Genomic DNA, 17,448 nt, shown 5'->3' with positions numbered 1-17,448 from the left:
TGTTGTTTATAAAAGTGGCTGGTACATCAGGAGCAGTAAATAAGTGAAAGCTATCATTAATTATAATGATAAAACCTACCTTTCTGCAAAACAAAAATGTCTGAACTTCCGCTAAACTCCTTGCTACCTGAGAAATCATTCCCAAAGAATCTATGATTCCTTGATATTATGGAGAAAAACCTCAGGGTTTTTTGCAGATGTTTTCCCATAGAACTGTATTAGAAAAGATTCAACTATCTTTGGGGGTAGTGAAGTTTATTGTCAATTACAGAAATGCTCTGTCATGGACCAATTTATCCTATATTTTAAAGTGCAAAAAAGGTGATATATGAAGCATAGCCAAAATGTATTTCCTCTGCAAATAAAATATGCCAGTACAGATACACTGTTGTTTTTGTAAGATAATTTGAGGTTTATTTTATTCAAATGAACAAATATTGTTAAGAATCTACCCAAATCTAGCCGGGCGCAGTGGCTCATGCCTGTAATCCCAGCACTTTGGGAGGCTGAGGCGGGCGGATCACCTGAGGTCGGGAATTCGAGACCAGCCTGACCAACGTGGGGAAACCCCTTCTCTACTAAAAATACAAAAATTAGCCGTGTGTGGTGGCCAGTGTCTGTAGTCCCAGCTACACGGGAGGCTGAGGCAGGAGAATTGCTTGAACCTGGGAGGCAGAGGTTGCAGTGAGCCAAGATCATGCCACTGCACTCCAGCCTGGGCGACAGAGTGAGACTCCATAACAACAACAACAACAACAACAACAACAACAACAACAAAGAATCTACCCAAACCTGAGCCCCATGCTATGATGAATAAATGCAAAAGAAGCTGCAACTATGCTCCCATCCCATGAGATGATGCTGGAATGCTGGGATGATGAGACTGACACATATAAATCAACTAGTCCCTAAGAGGAGAAGCACAATTAAGTGCTAAACTGCATGGTGCAGCTCATAAAAGAGTTGCAGGAATTCAGGTGAGGAAGATTAAGGAGCCATAGGCTACTTAGGAAAGATGCACTCAGGAGAAGGGAGAAAGAATTTACCAGTTACTTTATGTATGACTTTGGTAAAGTTAGTTAGCCTCTCAGTGTTACTGTTTCCTCTTTTATGAAATTTGACACTTTAATGCATGTAAAATGCCTAGCACATTTTAAAGCAAGACAGGTTTTTGGTAAGTCTTAGAGAATGTGTAACATCTACCCAGAAAGAGAATTCCCAGATAGCAGGATAACCTGTGTCATGTAAAAGAAACAGGTATCCTTTTTAAGCCTTTTTAGATACAAAAAGGTGAACAAAAAATCCACAAGTAATAGTCCTACTATAATAAGTACAATATTCTGTGTTGAATAGCAACCACAGCTTTGCCTGTATGGCAAAATAACTCCCTGAGCACGTGAGCCTTGGTGCATGTTGACATTCCTAGAGAGTTCCTCCTTCCAAGCAAAGATTCTTTCTTTAAAAAAAAATAGGACATAAAGTATGCATATTTGCTTTTCCCTCTAAAATCCTTGCCCTTTACTGACCCTTCTCCTGAGCACTTGTCCGAAAGCAATCATAACCTGAGCTTTCCATCACCTACAAGGAATAGTTATAATCACAATCACTTCTCTAATGTAATTTTCTTCTAATACACAGAGAACATGAGATACATTACTTCTAATTTTAAATCACGTTCTCTATATATTCAAATATTCCTTATCACAGCTTTATACATGTTCGACAAGAAGAGAAGGAAGAGTTCCTTTAAAGAGTCTCAACGTTATTTGGGGGAAATTACATTCAGCAGAGTCCTGATTATACTTACATGATCCTAATTAGAGTTTTCCTAGCATTACTGGTAAGAGTGTTAATTACATTAATTACATAATGGCTTCTTTGACAAATAAAGCCATATATTCTAAGATTGGTCCAAGCCTGACACTCCTTTCTGCTTAAAAAAAAATAGGAGACATATTGGAATAATAGAAGTTTCCACTTTAGGCCGAATGAAATTATACCAGTTCAAAATAGAAGATGATTTCATGGCAATTAGAAACAGTCTTTGTGGAAAGTTCCAATATTCCTTTTTATTTACACCAAAAGTAATTCCAGCCATGCATCACAGGCTCCATCACTTGTAGAGAGAAATGCATTATATATTTCTGTAGACAGAAACGAAGTAAAGCCTGAAATGATTACCTTGACTTTTTCAGAAAGGAGAGAATTGGAAATACAGTGCTGGTAGTCCGAGGCTTTGATATGTAAACTCACCTAAATATGCTGGTCTTTTCAGAGTTCGTTTGTCATACAGTGTGACCACACAAACTTAAATTATTTGTAAAATAAAATTGTTTTCTCTGTGTTTTTCCTATCCTTTTAGAGCCTTTGAAACATATATAGAAATTCATTCTCCTGAGTAGGAAACTGTTACTATATAGAATAGAGCAGCCCTCTGGTTTGCCAGTGGCAGATAGGAAGGAGAGCAGAGTGACAACCCATATGCCCCTTACTTCTCTTCCGCAAGGAGCAAGTTGCAAGCAAGAGAAACTGTTTTCTGCTCATTTGCTCCTTTATTTAACATTTTAATAATCTATGGGATACTGTGTAAGGTAGTGTGCTAGGCACTCGATAAACAGAGGGAAACGAAACCATGATCATGTCCTCTTGCAGTTTACAGTCTCCTCAGATATCGTTTGTGGTATGTTTAGGCTTTAATTTTGTCTTTCTGTGCATTTGCCTAAGTATATTTCTGGTCTTGATATTGAAAGACAGATTCAAGCTGTAATACATCACAGCTGTTGGGCAGGAACTCACGGGAAGCCATGAGCAAGGTAGAAGGGGCTGCTATTAGAAACAACTTGAGGCACCCATAGATGCAACCAAACCTTAATCCAAGGTGTATTCATTTCATATTGCTTCTGTAACAAATTACCACAAATTTAATAGCTTAAAATGCACAAATTTATTTTCTTATAGTGCTGGAGTTTAGAGGTAATAACCTCAAGGTGTTGTCATTCCTTTGGAGGCTCTAGGATTGAATCTATTTCCTTACCTTTCAAGCTTCTAGAGGCTGCCTTTATTCCTACGATCCTGGCTCCTTCCTCCATCTTCAAAGCCAGCAACATAGCGATTTCCCTTTCCTCCCTCCCACACCTATTCTCCACCATTCCTTCCCTCTCTCTGTGCTTTCGTCCTCTTATCTTCTCTGACTGACCCTCCTGCCTCCTTCTTATAAGAAATTTGTAATTCCATAGGGCCCACCTGTATAATCCAGAATCATCTTCTCATCTCCAAATCTTTAACTTAATCATATCTGCGAAGTCCCTTTGGCCGCATAACTAAGACAGGTACATCTTTGAGGGCCATCAGGCTACTACCACACAAAGCAAATTAAGTAGAAAATAACGTTTGCCTCTTTTATACCTTGAGTCCACCAGCTGCATGTTGCCCTTTGCAAGTTTGTTTTCTACTTCAAGGCCATCTTAGTTGTCCATTTTAACTAGCCTTTCCTCACAAAATGGTGGTATGTGGCTCCCCCCACTGATATTTCTCTGAGGCCTTGTAGCTCTCTAAGACAGCACCAGTTTAACTCACAAGTCAACAAACTGGAACACTTCAACCAGAGACATTGACATCCCCCTCTAATGAACTCAGCTGATTGCTAAAGACAGATGCTTCGTTAGAGCCAAACATTCCTATCTTACATAACTAAATATGATAATAAATTAAGTTCTTGGGGCTGGAAATAGTTATAATTTCCTCTTTCTTGCAGTGAAAAGGCATGGAACATTTAGCAAACTGATCCTGGCTTAATTTCTACCGATACTATGCAGCACAAACTCTTATTTGATGCAGATTATAAATCGAAAATTAGCAATGAATACTATGCATCGCTTTAGTGGTAAGAGGCTGCTGAGTAGCTTTTTTTCCCCAGTAACCGTAGAGGCAAGAATTGATATTTTTATGTCACTTTTACTAAGAAGGGGGGAAACATTTTGCTATTAATCTTAAAGAGAAGTCTTTTGCTGCTAGTTACGTGGAGTAACAGGGAATAGATTTACCTTCCTGCCTCAAAAAAGTGAAGACCAGAAAAACATTTGTTTTCAGACACTGGAGAGCAGGCACTGTTACGGCTGTGATTTTACAACTGCTCCTACATGCTGGGAGCAGTCGCTAGATGCATCTCAAGGTGGGTCGTCCGCGCTTCCAGACTCAGCACAATCGACATTTATTTACGTAGGTAAAATTACTGTTGCTATGGGTAAATTCACAGAAATAAAGCCCAGAGAATCCGGTTGGCTGGCAGGGAGCGGCGGAACCAATCCCGGGCTCAGCAAGTTCTCGCGATACCGTGAGATCTCCAGTCCTGACGACACCGCCGCTGAAATGTTAGTGAGACTGTAGGGTGGGCGGTGCGAGCGGCGGTTAGCTCCCAGTTCGGCCTCTGAGGAAAACGGGCGTTCGCCTGCGGTTGGTCCGACTGTTAGCAACATGAGCGGCCTGGATGGGGTCAAGAGGACCACTCCCCTCCAAACCCACAGCATCATTATTTCTGACCAAGTCCCGAGCGACCAGGACGCACACCAGTACCTGAGGCTCCGCGACCAAAGCGAGGCGACACAGGTGATGGCGGAGCCGGGTGAGGGAGGCTCGGAGACCGTCGCGCTCCCGCCTCCACCGCCTTCAGAGGAGGGGGGCGTACCCCAGGATGCCGCGGGCCGTGGCGGTACTCCCCAGATCCGAGTTGTTGGGGGTCGCGGTCATGTGGCGATCAAAGCCGGGCAGGAAGAGGGCCAGCCTCCCGCCGAAGGCCTGGCAGCCGCTTCTGTGGTGATGGCAGCCGACCGCAGCCTGAAAAAGGGCGTTCAGGGTGGAGAGAAGGCCCTAGAAATCTGTGGCGCCCAGAGATCCGCGTCTGAGCTGACGGCGGGGGCGGAGGCTGAGGCGGAGGAGGTGAAGACAGGAAAGTGCGCCACCGTCTCAGCAGCCGTGGCTGAGAGGGAGAGCGCTGAGGTGGTGAAGGAAGGCCTGGCGGAGAAGGAGGTAATGGAGGAGCAGATGGAGGTAGAGGAGCAGCCGCCAGAAGGTGAAGAAATAGAAGTGGCGGAGGAGGATAGATTGGAGGAGGAGGCGAGGGAGGAAGAAGGGCCCTGGCCTTTGCATGAGGCTCTCCGCATGGACCCTCTGGAGGCCATCCAGCTGGAACTGGACACTGTGAATGCTCAGGCCGACAGGGCCTTCCAACAGCTGGAGCACAAGTTTGGGCGGATGCGTCGACACTACCTGGAGCGGAGGAACTACATCATTCAGAATATCCCGGGCTTCTGGATGACTGCTTTTCGAAACCACCCCCAGTTGTCCGCCATGATTAGGGGCCAAGATGCAGAGATGTTAAGGTACATAACCAATTTAGAGGTGAAGGAACTCAGACACCCTAGAACCGGTTGCAAGTTCAAGTTCTTCTTTAGAAGAAACCCCTACTTCAGAAACAAGCTGATTGTCAAGGAATATGAGGTAAGATCCTCCGGCCGAGTGGTGTCTCTTTCTACTCCAATTATATGGCGCAGGGGGCATGAACCCCAGTCCTTCATTCGCAGAAACCAAGACCTCATCTGCAGCTTCTTCACTTGGTTTTCAGACCACAGCCTTCCAGAGTCCGACAAAATTGCTGAGATTATTAAAGAGGATCTGTGGCCAAATCCACTGCAATACTACCTGTTGCGTGAAGGAGTCCGTAGAGCCCGACGTCGCCCGCTAAGGGAGCCTGTAGAGATCCCCAGGCCCTTTGGGTTCCAGTCTGGTTAACATTTGCCCTTGGGAATACTCCTGCACAAGGTCTCCTACCACCTTCTGCTGGACCTGTGCTTGGGCATCAGCAATGAGTATGCCTTCTATTGTGCTTTGTTTTTGCTGACTTTTCTGCACCCTGTTTCCTTTGGATATTCAGTTCTCTCAACCTCAAGATTGAGACGGTGGTGGGTATGCTTCTCCACTTCCATATGACCTTCATGCTGTTCTGGAATATCACATGCTACGAGGTCATCCTTCACACTACTTGTAAGCCAAGCAAATGATACTGTAGATTGTACTGCCTTTATCTGCACTGCTTGGACCCTGTTTATTCCCAGGGCCTCTGAACTGGTTGCTGTCACTTGGATTTCTAGCTTTGGGAGCCTGTTCCACCTACTCAGCTCTGCATTGAGCAGTATGGGCACATGCCCTGTGGACAGTTACTGGACGTTAATGAACTCAGAGGAGAAAAGCAGTGAGCCACTTGTTCTGTGTGATTTATGGTACTTCATTGCTCTTCCTTCACCTCTAGTCACTTTCTATTGCTACCTGCCCTACATTGGCTCCTGCCAAGGTCCCTCTCTCTCCCTGTTTTCCTTTTTTTTTTTTTTTTTTTTTTTTTTGAGACGGAGGACGGAGTCTTGCTCTGTCGCCCAGGTTGGAGTGCAGTGGCGCGATCTCGGCTCACTGCAACCTCCACCTCCCGGGTTCAAGCGATTCTCCTGCCTCAGCCTCCCGAGTAGCTGGGACTACAGGCGCGCGCCGCCACGCCCGGCTAATTTTTATATTTTTAGTAGAGACGGGGTTTCACCATGCTGGCCAGGCTGGTCTCGAACCCCGATCTCGTGATCCGCCCTCCTTAGCCTCCCAATCCTCTCTTAAAAAAGTGATAGCTCAGAAACATTTGTAAAAGCAAGGTTTTTATTTCATTTTGGCTCTGTCATTTTCAGAGGCAAAGAAGTTGGCCTGTAAAATAGAGTGCTAGAGCTCTTACGCCCCTCCCCTTCTTCCCAACTTCCTACTTCCTAGCCCTTTTATCAACTCCTAGAATAGTTAAAGAGAGACACATCTAGATGGGATGAAAGGTGCCCTAAGCAGGAGAAACTGAACAAAAGGCTAGAGGCATGGGCCAGGTAAAAATTGGGCCTAGAGTGAAGACTGTGCTGTCGTTAAGAGCTTTCGAGGAAGGAGTACTTACTCCCCAATGATGATGAATGGAAAAATACTTTTCAGGGAGAATTGAAGGGGTTAAAGTGTTAAATATGTTGCCTAGACAAGGGTTCTTTAAAGAAAGACAGCGCAACTTTGAATGCTTTCTTACTTGTTTTGTGACCTAATTTATGTGGAAGATTGTTATTTCATTAGGATTTAGTAAAATTTTTTTTTCTGATTCTAAACTTATTGTGAAAATTGAGCTGTACAGATATTCTTTTGATTTCAATTGGGAACATTTGGAAGAACAACAGTCTTACTTGCCTGTACAATATAGAGACATATGAATAGTCATAACAGTTTTCAACTTGTTCTTGTTTCTGTTAAACTATATTCCTAGAAACATAGTTTGAACAACTTGGTCTTTGTTAGGCTTGTCAAATTGCCTTCATGGAAAAATAATCTACAAAAGTATGGTTTAATTGATTGTCTTACATGATAATTTTCCCTGGTAACAACTTAGTAAGTGATATATCTTTTTTCCTAAATTGCTTAAATACTGTGAAATTGCTCTGACAAATTGGAAGTGTACCATTGGCATATTTGTCTTCCTTTTTATGCATGATGGTAAAATAAAAGCATGTTGTTCTGCTAGATTTCTTATTTTTCACCTTACCCATAAATGTAATGCTTGAATGAAGTTGTTCATATTAATTAAAAATTATGGAATCATTAAAGTCCTTTAATCCATTAAAGTTCTTAATGGATTAAAATCATTAAAGTTCTTAATGGATTAAAATCATTAAAGTCCTTAAATTGATGTTAACTAAAAATTACAGAATCATTAAAGTCCTTAAATGGACACAATAGACATTATCCCAAAGAGAAGAAAGCAGGGCACGGTATGTTTGGTACCTTCCAAGGTAGTTTGCCTTAAAACGTTAGCAGTTGCAACTGCTTACTCAATCACTTTTTTCCATGTAGTTTATGCAGCACAACCTCCCCTTCAGTTGCTCAAATCCTCCATTTCTGTCTCCATAAATTATATTCTCAGGTTATTCAGGCTCTTCTTTTTATTAACTTGTATGCAGGGAGTACCTATCATATGTGATGTACTCCTCTATTTTCATACTTTCTCATCTGTAAAAACTTCCTTTTTTTCTTTAAACTTCCTCACTGTTCTCTTCTGTCAAATCCTTCAAGGCCTGCCCTTGGTAATTCCTCTGCCAAAGTCTTTCTGTTCCCCATAGAGGAGATAAATGTTTCTTTATGCACTTAGTGTACTTTGGAGGGACCTCTGTTCTAGAAAATTAACATAATTATTCATTACAGTGAATTCCACAAATAGAGAAAAAGAGTAAGAAGATAAAGTCCATTCCCTTCTTTGGGGAACTGGGGAAGGACTGATAAGCAAACAAAGAATTAACAGAGTGATACAGTAAAATAAAATACAGAGATTATATTTTCATGTTTTTCCCATGTTCACTCTTTTCCTCTCAGTAGTTTGGAAACTTTGTGAAAGTGGAGATGCAGTGCATTTTACATGGTTCATTGCATCTAGCATTTTTTTTTTTTTTTTTTGAGATAGAGTCCCACTCTTGCCCAGGCTGGAGCGCAAGTGGCGCGATCTCGGCTCACTGCAACTTCCGCCTCCCGGTTTCAAGCAGTTCTCCAGCATCAGCCTCCCGAGTAGCTGGGACTACAGGCACGTGCTACCACGCCCGGCTAATTTTTTGTATTTTTAGTAGAGATGGGGTTTCACCATGTTAGCCAGGATGGTCTCCATCTCCTGACCTCGTGATCAGCCCACCTCAGCCTCCCAAAGTGCTGGGATTACAGGCGTGAGCCACCGCACCCAGCCCATCTAGCATAATGTTTTGCATAGTTGTCAGCAGATAAATATTGAATGACAAAACTCAGATGGAGGAAAAAGAACAAAATAACCTAGTTCTCAGAAAGATTTAATGAGCAAATGGGAAAATGTCAAAAAGATTTGCAATGCCATTCCTAAATAACTATTTCCCCTTTTAGTCATTAGAAAACGTCTAAACACTTTCAACATTAAATCTTTCACTTGCATTTTAACAGAGCACTACTTAATTTTGGGTTACCTTTTATATACTTTGTACATTTTAAGGTGATTATACTGGAGATAGAAGGGGGTTAGACTCTAGATGTGTGTTGTCCAATACAGTAACTTTTAGCCACCAGTGGCTATTGAGCACTTGAAATGTGGCTAGTCTGAATTGAGATCTATAAATATAAAATTCACACTGGATTTTGAAGACTCAGTATGGAAAGAAAAATGTTAAAATATCTCAATTTTTTTCATATTGATTGCATGTTGAAATATTTTTGACATTGTGTTAAAATATATTGAAAAATTAATTATCCTCATTTTGCCATTGTTTAATGTGGCTACTAGTAAATCTAAAATTACATAGGACAGCATGTCTCGACTTCCTGAGGAATATCTGAAAGCATATAAAATATCTGTAAAAATTAAACATGTTAATACTTTCTCCTCCTGAAGCTTCTTGTGACTAAGATAAGGGTTATCTTGCTTAAATTCAAGGCCAATGGGTAAAAAGAAGGTGAGTAAAATTTCTTTAATGAACTGTTCTTGAGTACTTAAGATGCACTGAATATTTTGCAAAATGTACTGTGCAACACTTTCTTGATATAGGCAGGGTAGATTTTGATGCCAAATTGACACAGTTATATTGGTTTAATTTTTAGTGACTTTTAAGACCAATATATGCATATTTTCTAAAGTAAAATGCTCTTTTTTTTTTTTTTGAGACAGAGTTTTGCTCTTGTTGCTCAGGCTGGAGTGCAATGGCACCATCTCGGCTCATGGCAAGCTTCCGCTCACCGCAACCTCTGCCTCCTGGGTTCAAGCGATTCTCCTGCCTCAGCCTCCCCAGTAGCTGGGATTATAGGCATGCGCCACCACGCCCGGCTAATTTTGTGTTTTTGGTAGAGAGATGGGGTTTCTCCATGTTGGTCACGCTGGTCTCAAACTCCCGACCTCAGGCGATGTGCCTGCCTCGGCCTCCCAAAATGCTGGGATTACAGGCGTGAGCCACTGTGCCCGGCCAAATGCTCTATTTTTAGTTTACAAATGTACATGATGTTCAGAAAATATTTTCAGTCGTATTTTAACAGTTGGCTAGCAACAGAAAAGGAAAATATCTGAGTCTAGCTCTGCATTAAGTCAGTTCAATGAACGCGTACTACTTGAAAAAGCAGCCGGGCAGGGTGGCTCACGCCTGAAATCCCAGCACTTTGGGAGGCCGAGGCGGCTGGATCACCTGAGGTCAGGAGTTCGAGACCAGCCTGGCCAACATGGTGAAACCCCGTCTCTACTAAAATTACAAAAATTAGCTGGGTGTGGTGGCAGGCGCCTGTAATTCCAGCTACTCGGGAGGCTGAGGCAGGAGAATCGCTTGAACCCAAGAGGTGGAGGCTGCAGTGAGCCAAGATTGAGCCATGGCACTCCAGCCTGGGGACAAGAGAGACTTCGTCTCAAAAAAAAAAAAAAACAAAAAAACATACTTTTTGAAAATTAGTGGTCTGTAATTGTAATCTTGCAGTAGTTGTTTATTGAATACTAGCATAAGTAAGGATTGAATGGGATAGTAAAGGTTGTCTTTGCCCTTGAGGAACTCAGGCTCATTGAGGGGGGTACCGTTCCTTGAATGTTTCCTTTTTTTCTGCAGCAAATACACACATTCAAAACATCTACTGCACACAAGCAAACTCAGAGAGGACCAGCCTGGCTGAGAGGAGTTGACCATCCCCCTCAGGACTGACTTCCTTTCCTTCAACATTATTATATAATTAAAGTCCTAGACTATATAGAAGTGACAGGTATGCTCTCTATGCATTTATTATTATGGGAGGTGTTTTACTTGGAAGCAGTACTTTCTCCATGTTAAGTGCTTTGAGCTCTGAAGGGCCATCTTAATCCATTCTCTCTGACCTCAGAGGTTGTCAAGACCTATAGAAGAGTTTCTATCAAGCCACATTAGGAAAAATGTGGATGTCTACTTTTTGGCTTCACTTTTTTTAGGATTTGTATTTAAGGTAATTTCTTTGAGAACAGGTAAAAGGAAATGGTTCAATTAAAAAGGAAAGGGTCATTTAAGTAAGTTACTAATTTTTGTGAACACCTATATGTCTTAGATATGACCTGATGGGCAGAGAAGGCATACTAGCTTTAAATTAGGATTAAATCCCGGTTTTACAATTACCATGTATTGCATTTCCCAAAATAAACTACTCTGAATCTTGGTTTCCTTATCCATAATGTAGGGATGATAAAACTTGCAGTATAAGCTAATGTTTTAGGATGCATTTGGAGACTGCATTATAAGGTTACAGAGAAGATAACAACAGAAACATTTGAGAGCTTACTTTGCGCCTGACACTGTGCTAAGAGATTTCAAGTATTAATATAGTTATAATATAGAGGTTAGACAGCAAGCATCATGTCTAGCATATAATATGCAATCAATTAAAATTTCCATTTGTCTTCCTCTCAATTTTAATTTCTCATTTAATTTACATTCAGACAAATAGTCATCTAGCTTCATGGTTCTCAAACCTGGCTGATCATTATATATAGCTTTGAGCTTTCAAAAAATACTGATGCCAAGACTCTACCCTGAACCAATTAAATTACAGCCTAAAGTGCAGCTGAGTTTGAGAATCATGGCTTACCTTTTCTTGAACTCCTTAAGTTAGGGAATACATACTCCCTTCCCAGTTTTGTCAAATTGATTCAAATTTGCCACCTTATAAACATCCAGCTATTGCAAAGAGCCTGGTATATCGTAGAGTTTCAGTATATCTATTTCATAGTTTCCCCCCTGTGGTCTTGCAGAATGGAATTAACCTGAATTCAACAAAAGAGGTCTTTAAAATTCATAACAGCAGGTGTCGTCTGTCTTTGAAATTCCCTTGCCAAAAAAGGAAATGATTTCTTAGTGATATGCTTTACTTCTGTTGATCACTATTTGCTCTTTTAAAGTGTCCAAAGATGTTTTAATAGATACTTGGTATTTGTTGTTTTCTTTAATAAAGTATAATTTACATGTAGCACAGGAATGGTCATAGCAGTTTTATTTATAACAGCCCCAAACTAGAAACAGCCCAAATGTTCACCAACAAGTGAGTGAATGAACAAATTATGGTATATTCATACAATGGAACACCACTCAACAATAAAGAGGAACAACCTATTGATCATCAACATGGATGAATCTCAGAGACATGTTAAGTGAAAGATGTCAAAGGAATATATATTATATGATTCCATGTATATGAAATTCACTAGCATAGAAAACTTTTTTATGGTGATAGAAATCCCAGGAATGGTAGCCTCAAGGTTGAGGGGAGTAACGGTAAAGCTTGAGGACATTTGCAGGGGTAATAGTGCTCCATATCTTGAGTTGGGTGATAACACAGGTGTATCCACTTTTCAAAACTTGTCCAAGTATATATTTAAGATTTATGCATTTTAGTGTAAGTAAATTATACCTCAATAAATAGATTTTAAAATATTATTGATAATTTAAAAAATAGAACTTCATTTGCCCATCTCCAGTCTTTTGGCTTCTCTTCCTTGGTGGTAAAAATTGCTGACTCTACTTACAAGATCTTATTTGTGAGTTCTTACTGTTGCATGATTTTATTTATAATTCTAATAATGAAATTCCTTTTTAAAAACTTATTTCTCTTTCAATTCCAGGCCAAAATTGACCTTTCTCAAGATTCTCTTAGTTTACAAACTGAGGTCTGTCATCCTCTGGTCATTGAAGTGAAGTCTGCTTAGGACATATTGTCCTGTAAATAGGATTGACATTCCCTGGGGCCCTCTCAAGAATCTCTCTGAGCTTCCTTTTCCATTTCTGACCATTTAGATGCTTACAAGATGCTTTTCTCTGACTTCTTCAGCTCCAACTGCTCCTTTCCATTACCCTAAAGCTGTGGATCATAAAGAGTGTTCTCCAGACCAGCAGTATCTGCACCACCTGGATCTTGTTAGAAATGCAGATTTTCGAACCCCACCCATGAGCTACTGAAACAGAACTCTGAAGGTGAGGCCTAGAAACCGGTTTTAACCAATGTGCCAAGTGATTCTAATGCCTGCTATCAATCATTTGGGAACCATTGTCCTAAACTCAGCTGCTGCTTCTGCTTCATCTCCAGTTGATTCAGTTTCCTTAATTGTTACCATTATAAAAACAAAATAAAGCAAAACAAGACATTTACCTATATTATTAATCACAAATAAGTTCCCTACCCTGTGGGGTCACAATTTGGGCTTTGGATATCTAATTCTGCATCAAGTACATATCTCTGTCTTCACAATCTCAACAAATTATTAGATATATCAGTAACTTCCATATATGCTCTCATTTTGTAGTTGCAGTGTCACTATCTCCATTTAATGGATAGGGAAATAGGGGCTCAGGAAAGAGAAGTGTATTATCCAAGACGAAGGTAACATGGGCTGCATTCAATTAGGGTTTCTCATTTCCAGCTAAGACACTTTGCACCATATTGAAGCAGCTTGTAACTAAATTTGCCATAAAAATATATCTAAAATCCTAATTAAGTTTGAATAGCTTGATCTTAGTTGAAAGTTATTCCTAATTCATTCACAAGTAGCTTTTAAAAGGGATATGTTTATGTTAAACAATAGAAGGTCTCCAAATCCTATCAGATAACTGTATCCTGTCTTTAAAAATGTAATTTTTTATATCTACTGCCTGAATTAAATTGCTTAGTTGTACTTTCCAGAGAAATAGAATGGACCAAAGCAGTTCAAATATTTTAATATTCTTCTGGAGTTTGGCTGCTGAGATGTAAAGAACTATTGATATCACTAGTAAATAAATAATGTATATTTATTGAGGTTTAGTCAATAGAGCGATTACTTATAAGAGGCATGTAGTACTTAATTATCATCCTCTTCACCAAACTCCAACTTAACCTTGGACAATACAATTAAGAGTTGTGTTCAGATGGCTTTAAAAACAGGTGCATGGTACAACATGCTCTTGTTGTTAACCATTTTGCTTAATGGCCAAACTTCTCTTGGGTCAGTTTTGATAACTCCTCTGCAATTTCATCAACAATGAGGGAAATGTAATTTCAAGGTGAGCATTGAGCACTGAGTATATTAGGCAAGAGTGGGGCTTGCTTATTTTTGGCCTTGCAGCTCCCAGAAATAGAATGTTTACAAGGTGTAATCATATTTCAGTACCTTGTTTTTCCAGAATTGTTTTCTTTTCCCAGAAATTTTTTACTCTCTATTTATTTGTATTTAGCTCTTCTTTACTAAAGTATAACTCTATCAGAGCAGAAGACTGTGTCTTCTTCATCTTTATATCTTACATTCTTAGCATGGTAGATGTTTAATTGGAATGTGATTTCAGAGAGTGGCTGTGTTCCAGTCTTGATCCAATATTGATGAACTGAATGTGTTAGTCTATTATAAGCAAAGATTTTCAGGTCAAACTTGGTTTGAAATACAGACTGTATGTTCCTCACAGAAAATGTGACTTTGAGCAACCAAGTCTGCTTAAAGTCAGCTATTAAAAGTATGTATTTCATGCATCTAGTTTTTTCTTAATATATTTTATAAAGTCTTTAAAGTGATATGTGGAAGAATGTGGTAAAGCACTTTAGTTAGAGCAAAAAGGGTTGTTTTCCCTATCAGCCCAAAATACCATATGTCTAGAATCATTAGGAATTAACTGTAACATAGTGGACAAGCATTATTACTATGTGCTAGTGTTTCATGACTTCCTCAGATTATTCAAATGGTATCCAATCTACTTGGTCCAATTCAACTCTTCTTTTCTTCCACAAACCTTTCACTTATTTTACATGGATGACTTTTGTTTCTCAACTTTTATACAATTACAGTTTCATAATAGAATTTGACATTGATTTTATACTGCCTACAATATTGTTTATTTAATGTAATTCTTAGCATAAAAATAATAAAAATGAGCAAGTCAGCTTCTATTTATTGAAAGCATATTGTGAAAAACACTTCACAGATATCTCATTTCACCTTCATGATAATTCTGTAAGTTGTTTTATTATATTCATTTTGTATATGAGTAAATTGTGGCTTAGAGAGCTGAAGTGACTTGCCTAAATTAAACAGCTAGTAAGTAACAGAACTGGGACTTGACGTCAGATCTGTTTGATTTCAAAGGGTGCATCTTTAACCAGCATACAAAGGTGTGGGGTCATTCAGGTCAGAGCCTTTGTCTCTGGTTTCTCTTAAGACTGGTGAAAGCAGGAGCATATGAGGTTTTTTTTTTTCTTTTTTTTTTTAAAGTATTATCACAGGCAGTGATCATAACTAGATAATTAGCCTGAGAAAATATTACTTTTGTAACAGTGATAGCCTAAATAAAATAGAAATGTGATTCCATTGTAATAATAAAGAGTACCAAACATATGTGAGAAACTATGCCACAGTTATTTTACTGAAATATGATCTATTTTTGCCAAGCTGATCTATATCAGCTTAAACTTGAACTTTGAGGGCAGACAAAACAGAATCGTACTATCATCCTAAAGACTACTTCCTCCCTCTAGTGACCAGGAATGGGAATATCACAGCTACAGGCATTTAGAAAACTTGATTCTCAATGTATATGCATACCTCCCTCTAGGGGATATTTGGGAAATTTTCAGTAGTAATTTTGGTTATTACGATGAATAGGGCTGCAGCTGGTATTCATTAAGGGCATTAGGGATGCTAGACATCGTGAATGTGAGGGATAGTGCCCTATATAAAATAATTTTCCAGCTCAAAACATTCATGTAGATGAAAAATTCATTATTTTTTAAGTCTAGAACATAGCAGTTCAGTCATGTTTCACTTAACAATGAGACATTCTGAGAAATGTGTCATTAGGCAATTTCATCATTGTGCAAACATCATACAATATACTTACACAAACCTAAATGCTATAGCCTACTACACATGTAGGCTCTATGGTATAGTCTATTGCTCCTAGGCTACAAGCCTGTGCAGCATATTACTGTACTGAATTCTATAAGCAATAGGAACACAATGGCAAGTATTTGTGTAACTAAACATATCTAACATATGTTGTGTAACTAACATATCTACATAGAAAAACTACTGTAAAAAGATGGCATAAAATATTTTAAAATGGTATACCTGTATAGGACACTTACCATTAATGGAGCCTGTAGGACTGGAAGTTGATCTGGGTGAGTCAGTGAGTGAGTGGTAAGCGCATGTGAAGGTCTAGGACATTACTGTACACTACTTGATACGGTTTGGCTCTGTGTCCCCACCCAAATCTCATCTCAAATTGTAATCCTTACATGTCAGAGGGGCCTGGTGGGAGGTGACTGAATCATGGGGGCAGACTTCCTCCTTACTGTTCTTTTTATAGTGAGCTCTCATGAGATCTGGGGGTTTAAAAGTATGTGGCTTGCTCTCTCTCTCTCTCTCTCAAGCTTTGTCATGGTTAGATGTGCCTTGCTTCCCCTTCACCTTCTGTCATGATTGTAAGTTTCCTGAGGGCTCCTCAGGCATACGGAACTGTCAGTCAATTAAACCTCTTTTCTTTATAAATTACCCAGTCTCAGGCAGTTCTTTATAGCAGTGTGAAAATGGACTAATATGCTATTGTACATTTTATAAACATTGTACACTTTGGGACACTAAGTTTATAAAAAAATTTTTCTTTCTCCAATAATAAATTAACCTTAGCTTACTGTAACTTTTTTACTTTATGTTTTAACTTTTTAAAACTTTTTGAGTCTTTTATAATGACACTTAGCTTAGAACACAAATATTGTACAGCTGTACAAAAATATTTATATCTTTAATTTATAAGCTTTTTTCTAATATTTTTTCTTTTTTTTCAACTTTTTAAACTTTTTTGTTAAAAATGAAGACACAAACACACACATTAGCCTAGGCATAGCCATGCTCCCGATTATCAATATCACTGTCTTCTACCTCAACATCTTGTCCCAATAGAAGGTCTTCAGAGGCAGTAACACATACTGAGTTGTCATCTTCTGTGATAAAAATGCCTTCTTCTGGAATACCACCTGAAGGATCTGCCTGAGGCTATTTTACAGTTAAGTTTTCTTTTTAATAAGTAGAAAGAGTATCCTCTACAATCACATATAGTATAGTAAATACATAAGCCAGTAACATAGTCATTTATGTTTTATCAAGTATTATGTACTGTACCTAATTGTATGTGCTATACTTTTATATGATTAGCAGTGTAGTAGGTTTGTTTATACCAGCATTACCACCAATACATGAGTAATGAGTTATACTATGACCTTATGAGGGCTACAGCATTACTCAGGCTGTGATGACACTAAGCCATAGGAAATTTTCAGCTCCATCATAATTTTACTGTTGGATATGTGATCCATCATTTGATGAAACATCATTATGTGGCACATGAGTATTTCACATATGAAAACAAAAAA

At 39.3% G+C, this 17,448-nt stretch overlaps 2 protein-coding genes across 12 annotated transcripts in view, besides 4 other annotated features; one reads left to right on the top strand and one right to left on the bottom strand.

Annotated features, from left to right (window-relative positions):
* DSE (dermatan sulfate epimerase) overlaps window positions 1-17,448 on the bottom strand; it is a 190,691-nt gene that overhangs the window by 160,558 nt on the left and 12,685 nt on the right. For 5 of the 11 annotated variants that reach the window (NR_136524.2, NR_136523.2, NR_136522.2 and 2 more), the window contains exon 1: window positions 4,044-4,218. The exons of the other annotated variants lie outside the window; for them this stretch is intronic. The gene's annotated coding sequence lies outside the window, so the exon portion shown is untranslated. Of the gene's footprint in view, window positions 1-4,043; window positions 4,219-17,448 lie in introns of those variants that run through there. 11 annotated transcript variants of the gene reach the window in all.
* Window positions 4,374-9,446, top strand: TSPYL1 (TSPY like 1). Its single transcript, NM_003309.4, has one exon. It carries the CDS (start codon window positions 4,474-4,476, stop codon window positions 5,785-5,787), a length of 1,314 nt encoding a protein of 437 aa, NP_003300.1. The 5' UTR covers window positions 4,374-4,473; the 3' UTR covers window positions 5,788-9,446.
* Window positions 4,381-4,440: an enhancer, noted in NCBI's record as "active region_24985". NCBI's record gives its function as "activates an Ori minimal core promoter by ATAC-STARR-seq in GM12878 lymphoblastoid cells {active_cell/tissue: GM12878}" and the evidence as "EXISTENCE:reporter gene assay evidence [ECO:0000049][PMID:35858748]".
* Window positions 4,671-4,940: an enhancer, noted in NCBI's record as "active region_24984". NCBI's record gives its function as "activates an Ori minimal core promoter by ATAC-STARR-seq in GM12878 lymphoblastoid cells {active_cell/tissue: GM12878}" and the evidence as "EXISTENCE:reporter gene assay evidence [ECO:0000049][PMID:35858748]".
* Window positions 4,961-5,010: an enhancer, noted in NCBI's record as "active region_24983". NCBI's record gives its function as "activates an Ori minimal core promoter by ATAC-STARR-seq in GM12878 lymphoblastoid cells {active_cell/tissue: GM12878}" and the evidence as "EXISTENCE:reporter gene assay evidence [ECO:0000049][PMID:35858748]".
* Window positions 12,677-13,178: an enhancer, noted in NCBI's record as "NANOG hESC enhancer chr6:116592289-116592790 (GRCh37/hg19 assembly coordinates)". NCBI's record gives its function as "activates a minimal SCP1, AML or CMV promoter by ChIP-STARR-seq in naive H9 embryonic stem cells {active_cell/tissue: H9 hESC(naive)}" and the evidence as "EXISTENCE:reporter gene assay evidence [ECO:0000049][PMID:30033119]".

This window comes from Homo sapiens, chromosome 6 (genome assembly GCF_000001405.40).
Source record: "Homo sapiens chromosome 6, GRCh38.p14 Primary Assembly".
Lineage (NCBI taxonomy): Eukaryota > Metazoa > Chordata > Mammalia > Primates > Hominidae > Homo > Homo sapiens.
This window is presented reverse-complemented; position numbering and strand designations above follow the sequence as displayed.

What these genes read in the sequence shown, in the direction of transcription:
- TSPYL1 (NM_003309.4), top strand. Translation starts at nt 4,474, where the DNA reads ATGAGCGGCCTGGATGGGGTCAAGAGGACCACTCCCCTCCAAACCCAC.